Source organism: Homo sapiens, chromosome 6, assembly GCF_000001405.40.
Source record: "Homo sapiens chromosome 6, GRCh38.p14 Primary Assembly".
NCBI classification, from domain to species: domain Eukaryota; kingdom Metazoa; phylum Chordata; class Mammalia; order Primates; family Hominidae; genus Homo; species Homo sapiens.
Window position 1 is genome coordinate 167,399,870 of NC_000006.12, and position 8,688 is coordinate 167,408,557.

Consider the following 8,688-nt stretch of genomic DNA (forward strand, 5'->3'; position numbering starts at 1 on the left):
GCCCGGACATTCTGCGCAGTGAGTTGCTGCCAGTCCATGATGCGCTGATGCAAGTCATAGCTGCTCAGCACGACTCTGCCCAGATTCCGTTTATTATCCTACTAAATAATTATTTTCATTGTCTTCATCTTTTCATGGCGATGTTGATGTCTTTCTATTAAAATCTAAAGAACGCTCTCTCCACGGGGCAGACTTTGTCATTTATAAGCTAACTGGTGAGAAATCGAAGAGGAAAAGGCAATCACATAAATGCCTTTGGAAGACCGCAATCCTGGTGCACTCAATTAAAACTTGGTGGGAAGGGAAGCAAGGACGTTTGAGAAGGTGAGAGGCAGGACTCTGATTCAGAAACCTGTGCTCAGGCCTGGGTCCCTCTCATTGGCTGGGGGTCTTGGAGAAGACACGGCCTCTCTCTGAGCTCAGTTCCTGCATCTGCAGAGACCATGATCCATCAGCCTTTTGATAGGAAGAGTGGATGGGGGTCCCATGTGACAGCGTGCAGGACACTCCAGAACGCTGCATATTTCTCTGCATTTTGTGTGTATGACAAGCCATGTGGGGTTATTATTTCCATCAAACACTAGACAAAATCCATTCTGCCCGATTCTATCCAGTTGTTGCCTTCCTAGAAACACAGGAATAACCTGCAGCACCATCCCCTTCCGTTCTGTGGCATTGACACAATTCAGGAATCTACTTTTGTGCTTTTACACATTGAACTGACAGGTGACATCAGGCATCGACTGTCACAGGGGCCAGTGGAGAGGTGGCAGGGACGCCCACATTCGATGAATCCTGCATCACGGTGTTGGACTTCTTGTTTTTGACACTAAACTTGTTCACATTCGATAACTTGAGCACGAATAAAGGCAGCTCACAGCAATAACGCCTGATGGGCACGGGCCCTGTGCTATGCTCTAAACACTGCTCCTGTCACCCCTCCAAGACATGGGTCCCGCATTTTACAAACATGAATTCTGAAGACAACGAATAACTGATCTTGCCCAGCTCAGTTGGGCCCTAGCCCCATGCCTGGGGCCGGGATGTGGGTCGTGTTTGGAGCCTGTTGCAGATGCGGATTTGTCTGCTTCACGCAAGATGCTCTGATGTACTCTGTGTGGCCTGGAACTGAGAAACCTGTGCTGGACCCAGCGCCTGCAGATGCTGCACCAGGGTAGCTGTTTTCCAGGGGTCAGGAGACATGCTCCGGAGGCTCCAGAGGCACAGACGGCCCCTCTCCATACACAGCACCACCTGGGAACTGGTTGGAGATGTGCACAGGCAGACTCCAGCCGGGGGGACATTGAAGTCCAGCAGCGGCAGACCGCGGCTGTTTTTCAGGCAGTTACCTGATTCCTATGATCTAGGAAGTTGGGGAGAAAAGAAAACTTGCTTACTTCATAATGTTTCCCACAGCATGCAAAAAATCTGACTTGAGAGACAGGATCTCATGCCGTCAGCACGCAGAAAGTTATAGGATTGACGCCTTTTCCTTTGCTAATGCGTCAGGGTGGGATTGCACTAAAATCAGGTACAAAAACACACATGAGTTTTCGAGAGAAGAGTCTGGGAAAAGGCAGCCCTTGTGACCTCCTCCAAATTGCTGCTATAAAGTGTTTAGTGAGCATCATTTCCCGACCTTTAGCTGATGAAATTCGTGTTGGGGGCAATTGGCAGGAGCTGGTAGGAACCCGTGTTTACCCAGTGTGACCAGGTGGGGCTGTGCTTTATGGAAAGCAATACAGGTGGCCGGCTCAGGAAGGCTGCAGCCAACAGCCAGGCAAGTGGCGCACGTGACCCACTCAGGAAGGCTGCAGCCAGCAGCCAGGCCTCTGCACACAGGGAGCCACAGTCGGCTGCCCTCACAGCAGCACTTACTCACTTCCCCTCGAACATGCTGGCTCTGCCTGGAGTCCACCTCCGGACTGCGGAGTCTGTGCTATCTCTGTCCCGGGGACATGCCAGGGCACTCTGTTCCGAGAGAGACCCCTGCCTTTGGGGGACTCCTCACCACGGCCTCGCTGCAGGCTTCACCTCACATGAGCGTTTGTCATGGGAACTTCCCAGTCCTCAGTTCTGCTGCATCCTGGTGGGGGAGAGAGGGAGACTCACAGAACCCGTCAGGGATGGGGACGGGCAGAGGGAAGTGAGGCTTAGTTGAGCATGGGTTTCCTTCTGGAGAAGGAGGAACCGGAGGGGCATTTATCAATTCTAAGTCACTGGGATTCTGGCATCATTGGTGAGGGCTGGCCCAGGAGCGCGGTGAGAAGGTGAGGGGACATTATTAACATTGCTGCCGGTTTACCCCTAATTGTTTAAGCTTTTTATTGACTTCTGTGCTCTTTCATTTTACCGCACATGCTAGAATGGCTCACACACCTCCCCTCTCCATGTCCTCCCTCGGCTAGGGGGCCTGCAATTGTGAGCGTGGGGAGCATACCCCTCACCTCCTAATGTTTGGCCAATGGGCTGTGCTGGCCTGAGAGGGGAGGGCCAGAAACGAGCCAGCACAAGCAGGTCAACCTTTCCTGTTGTTGAGCACACCACAAGGAGGTCATGCCCCAGACAGCTGCTGTCCCTTCCGGGTGGGTCCGGACGAGACGTGGAGAAACCTGAGCCCAGCCTGGGGTCTGGGGCTCCTGACCCACAGCCTGAGGCCACGCTGTCCAGTCAACCCACTGAGCCAGGTGAGAAAGAGAAGGGCCAATTGTCACCAGCCGCTATGAGTCTGAGGTTGTGTGTTATGCGTGAGCCTGAGGTTGCGTGTTATGCGTGAGCCTGAGGCTGCGTGTTATGCGTGAGCCTGAGGCTGCGTGTTATGCGTGAGCCTGAGGCTGCGTGTTATGCGTGAGCCTGAGGCTGCGTGTTATGCGTGAGCCTGAGGCTGCGTGTTATGCGTGAGCCTGAGGCTGCGTGTTATGTGTGAGCCTGAGGCTGTGTGTTATGTGTGAGCCTGAGGTTGTGTGTTATGTGTGAGCCTGAGGTTGTGTGTTATGTGTGAGTCTGAGGTTGTGTGTTATGTGTGAGCCTGAGGTTGTGTGTTATGTGTGAGTCTGAGGTTGTGTGTTATGTGTGAGCCTGAGGTTGTGTGTTATGCAGCACACAACTGACTAAGGCTTGTGGTAAATGCACTGACTTGGAACAAAATTCAAAATGTACAAAGGGAATTACAGTGACATATCTCCCCAACCCTGTCCTTCAGCCTCCCAGCTCAACTGTCCCAATATTATTACAATACTGGGAAGGTATATAATAACAATCCTTAATTGTTCTAGGTGTATATAATTAGAAAGAAAGATATTTTTAAAATAATGGAACTAGTGCCATCCCTACAAAGGATTGCAAAATAGTATGGTCAGAAGTCCATAGTGGCTCAAAATTCAATACGTAACTATCTGAAAATCCCCCCATCCCATATCTGGCCAGTCTTTCTATTTTCAGGAATGAAAAGGAAAGAAGAAGGAAGGAGGGAGGGAGGGAAAAGAAGAGAAACAATTATGGCATAAGACAGATGGGGACTCCGCTTTGCGCCTGTAGGAGAAATGCATGGACATTACCACTTCAGATGAGGATTCCAGATCCTGCTTTTTGGTGACAACCAAATCCTCCGTCTGGTTAAATGCTAAGCAGTTCACCTCTGTTGGATAAATGGACCCCTGTGCTCAATTTGTACCTGATAATTCAATGCAGTCAATTCCTCCTTTCTCCCCAGCAGAGGTGCTTGGGGGCGTGACGCAGGTGAGCTGCTGGGGACACAGTGGGAGGCAGCCTTCCAGGCCCTGCTGCCTCTAACGCTCATGACCACTTTCCAGTTTTTGTCCCTGTGACTGCTGCTTCCAGGCTGCCCCTCTGCTCCCCAAGATGCACACTCACTTCTCTCTTTGTGCCTCATGTTTTTATAGATCTGAGAATCATTTTTGAAATTGTAGCCTGGAGGATTTGTCCCTAGTTGTTCCCGCCTGTCTAGCTACAGAAAGACACTATGGAATGACTAAAATAAAATCTGCAGGGGTAGAAGGAAAAGGTGGAATGTGCAGTGGGCATATGGCACTTCCAAACTCGTGAACAGTTCCAGGCAGAGTGGAGGGAGGGAGGGGCATCATCCCAGGATGGTCAACGCTGCTGGGCTGTCCCCTGGCACCACAAGCAGTCCCTCATCAAAACCAGGCAAAGCAACCATGCACACACCGAGAAGACCACAAAGAGAGCAGCACAGTTCAGGGTGGATGGAGTGCTCTCCTGGGGGACATCGGCAGGCTCCATAGGTCTTGGTCATGCTGGTCCGTCTCTCAGGTTGGTCATGGAGCTCATGGTGCTCATCCTTATCTTAGTCCCTTAGTGTTGCTGTAAAGGAACACCTGAAGCTGCAGGGAAACTTATAAAGAAAGGAGGTTTATTTGGCTCACGTGTCTGCAGGCTTTACCAGGCTCATGGTGTCAGTGTCAGCTTCTGGGGAGGCCTCAGGAAGCTTCCACTCACTTTGGAAGAGGAAGGGGAGTTGGCGTGCGCAGATCACATGGTGAGAGAGGAAACGAGACAGGGAGGAGGTGCCAGGCTCTTCTTAAGAATCAGTTCTCACGGGAACTAATAAAGTATGAACTCACTCATCACCACAAGGACAGGCACCAAGCCATTCACAGGGGATCTACCCCTGTGACCCAAACACCTTCTATCGGGCCCCGCCTCCAACACTAGGGTTCAAATTTCAACTTGAGATTTGGAGGGAAAAGCACCCAAACTGTGTTACAAAGCATGTCCCAAACACAGCAATCCTCCCATCATTCTTTAAGTGTCTCATGCAGCCACCCTTTCATGTCGGGCTACGTTCCCCCTAGGGCTGTGGCATCTGGGTGGGCTGGGGCACCTGGTCCATTTGCCTGCTCACAGAGCATTCCTGTCCCCGCTGGTCCCTGCAGGTCATTTCTCGTGGTGACTGGAGAAAGCTCTCTACAGAAACGCCTGTCATCCATGCCTTCACCTACGCGAGAGCATCCTCTGCTCCCTAGACCACACCAGGACAGTTCTGCACGGACCTAAGGAGCTCACAGCCCAGCCCCCTCCCCGGGGAAATCTCTGCACTCCGGACTGGTAATTTCCAGGGCATGGTCTGCCTTTCTCAGCTTCGTGGGAAGCACCTTTGGTTCAGCCTCGCTGGTGAGGGTGGAGGCTGCCTCCCGTCCCCTCCTTGTTCACCAGCAGGCGTCAGCAGGGCTGCTATTGGACCCCTTTAGACCAAGGCGCAACCTGGCTCCTCTGTTCTCAACAGGATCAGAAATGTCACGCAGGTCGTATCTGGAGTGGTTCTCTTTTTCCCTTTTGTGGAGGGTTAGAGTGGTATTCACACCTAGGCACGTCTACGTCTGAAATCTGTGATAGACTGAATGTGTCTCCCTCCCAAATTCAAGTGCTAACCCTCGGACCCCAGAATGTGATTGCATTTGGAGACAGGGCCTTTAAGGAGGTGATCGAGTTAAATGAGGTCATATGTGTCCCCTAATCCATCGTGACTGGTCCTTATTAGAGGAGATGAGGACACTGACACATGGGACGACGGCCACAGGAGGACACAGGGGAAGACGGCTGTCTACACAGCAAGGAGAGAGTCTGCAGGGGACACCAGTCCCGCCAATACCTTGACCCTGGACTTCCAGCCTCCAGGACTGAGAGAGAACAGCTGAACAGATTCAGAGGTCCACTACGTGGCACGTAGCAGCCATTCATTCACTCACTGTGCCTGCTCCCTTGAGCCTGGCTGTAATCTGGCTGATAACATTCATTCATTCATTCATTCATTCATTCATCAGGTATTTCCTGTGGGCCTACCATGTGCCAGGCATGGGCTAGGTTGGTTCTGGGGTAAAAATGGTCCTTTGCCCAAGCTACTGATGGAATCACAGAGACGATGGGGAAAATCAGTGAGTAAACAAGCTGAAGACGGAAGGCAGAGACTCGGAGCAGAGCCCGACCATTCTGCTGGTGTGGGGAGAGGGTGGAAGCCTTGTCCAGGGAGGTGGAGAGGCCACAGCAGGAGAAGCATGCCCAGGCTGAGACCAGAAGGATGAGAGGGACCAGAAGGAGGAAGAGCTGGACTGGGACAGGGTGAGGTTGTGGTCGGCTTAAGTGGCTGCCAGTGGCTCAGTTCATCTGCAGAAAGCAGCAGGGAGAAGGGTGAAAGGAGACTGGGGATGGAGAATCAGGGCCACCCCTTACAACCCTGTCTTAGGGTGTGGCCTTGGTCCACGGGGAGCAGGAAGTCAGGAGCGGTGTCAGGCAGGAGGGCAGTGGGCGTAGGTTCCTTGTGACCTGTGAGCAGAGAGGGGCTGAAAGCCGGGCCTGGTCCATGCTAAGGGGTGCGAAGGGGAGAGCATTTTCCACCAGGGCTCAGGTGGTGTCATCAGGGATGGGGCAGGGGCAGCGGCAGGGCCCTGAGAGCTGTGCCACTTCGTGATGCCACTGCGACCCTTGCCACTGTGTTTCAGGGGTGCAATGCTGCAGGTGAAATTGATGCAGACCCAGGCTTCAGACCTGTTCTCCTAGACTGCAGTGGTGCGATGACAGCTCACTGCAGCCTTGACCTCTGGGTTCAAGAGATCCTCCTGCCTCAGCCTCCCAAGTAGCTGGCACACGCCACCACACCTGGCTATTTTCTTTTAATTTTTTATTTGTTTGTAGGGACAGGGTCTCACCATGTTGCCCAGGCTGGTCTCCAACTCCTGGGCTCAAGCGAATCTCCCACTTCAGCCTCCCACAGTGCTGGGATTACAGGTGTGAGCCACCATGCCTGGCCTAGTTTGGGTAACTTTGAGTCACCTGAAGAGTCAGCCTCAGCCCCAGAGGGTTCTCCCTTCCCCAGGGTGCTGTGTTTGCATGGGAGCACAGAACCATTGCCCCTGCAGGGCTTTTCAGTGGAACCGAGTGTCCCCACACGAGCTTTGTCTCCGGATGCACACGAGGAGATTCTGCAGCACAGTGGAGCCGATTAAGCCATTACAGCTTTCCAGAGGGAAAAGAAAATTTAGGACGTGTAGAAACTAAGTCTTTGCCCACAATCAAGTTTCCATTCAAATTATGAGAAGGAAGTGATTGAATGAGAATGAGATGACCTTCCCCTTCCCCCATGGATTTTCCTCCCTCTGGCTCTCTCTGCTCCTGACACGAGCACTGCACCAAGGCGACAGCCCTGGGCACCCAGGCTGACTCCTGCACTCGGGCACGGACCTCACGGCTGGGCTGACTCCCGCACTCGGGCGCTGAGCTCATGGCCGGTTCTGAAGAACTCTGGTTCTGCTCATGCCCCACATCAAAATGGCCAAGTCTTCAGATTTGGGATTTCCCAAGCCAAAAGTATTTTCATAGAATTGTATTTCAATATTTACATTATCTTTAAAGAAAGTCCAGCTAAAAATCAAAAATAAATAAAAATGTAAAAAATAAAACAATCCCAGAGAGAAGTGGGGTCTACTTGAATGCAATGCAACATGAAGTGGACATCTGGACGCCCCTCCTCCAGGGCTCCGCATGCTCCCCGGGGCTCAGGGGCTCGGGTGGGGCAGCTCCTTATGGCATGGGGGAGGGAGGGTGTCCCCAGGTTCTTGGTCGGGGCAGGTGCAGGCCTGCGGGACACTAGGTGAAGGAGGCAGAACTGGCTGCCGTGTGTGGAGTGGCTTATTCTAATTCAAACTCCCCTCTTTTCTTCCTCTTCCTTTTGGGGGAACTCATCCCTCTGAGACCTCAGACAACCATGCACCAGGCTATGGGTGGGGGTAGTGCAGGGCAGGCAGAGCGGTGAAGGAGAAGCATTCTGCTGTTTTCTGCAGTAAGGTAAATATCGTGGCTGTTGTCTGTTCTGCCTCCTCTCTGCTGTCTGGCTTCGTTAGTGCAGATCGAGAGCACAGGTCAGTGCCCTGGAAGCTCAAGGGTGTTCAGGATGACCGTAGCAGAGGTCTCCATGCCATGAAGGGAACCCAGCCTTGCTAACTTCTCCAGGCTCGGTGCCCAGCACCCCCAGGGCACACAGAAACCACCGTGGTGTGAGTGGTGCTGGAGCAGCAGACACAGGCGCATTGTTGTTGGGAGGTGGTGGCCGCCAGGCTGGGGAAGCCGTTCTGGGGGATGGGGGAGCCCCCGCCAGCTTGCGTGTTTTCTTCCTTAGCAACTGCCCCTCAGAAGCAATACAGGACTTTCCCTAATGTCACCTCTGCTGAGTCCACGCCGGGGAATGGCTGAGAAACAACTTCATGCCAGAATCCTGTCAATCTAAGTCTCTACAAAATTCTAGGAACCAAGAAATTATAAACTGAAAGCTCTTAATGAGAAGCTCTCTGTGGGCAATGATCTGGGCTCTGCAGGGGGCTCCAGCAGCAGCCAGAGGGAAATAAACGTGGACAAGAACAACCTGAGGCTGCTCGGCTGAAGGCCGGAGCATGGGGACTGCCCTAACCCTCACTCACGGTGCAGGGAGCTTCCCAGGAAGTCTCAGCTCACCTGCAGCCTTCGAACCAGGAGAGGCTCCGTGAAAGAGCAGGTGCGTGGACCGGCCGGAGGGGTCAAGAGAACTGATGCCTTGAATGAATCCAGATGAGCAGCCACCATTGTGCTGAAATGCCCTTGGTCCCTTCAGAAAGGGCGGGCCACTTCCGTGTGGGTTGGGAAGGTGCCTGGGACCCGGGCCGCCCCGTGGAGAGCCAG

General features: G+C 53.0%; 1 annotated feature.

Annotated features, from left to right (window-relative positions):
- Window positions 607-1,286: an enhancer, noted in NCBI's record as "H3K4me1 hESC enhancer chr6:167813964-167814643 (GRCh37/hg19 assembly coordinates)". NCBI's record gives its function as "activates a minimal SCP1, AML or CMV promoter by ChIP-STARR-seq in naive H9 embryonic stem cells {active_cell/tissue: H9 hESC(naive)}" and the evidence as "EXISTENCE:reporter gene assay evidence [ECO:0000049][PMID:30033119]".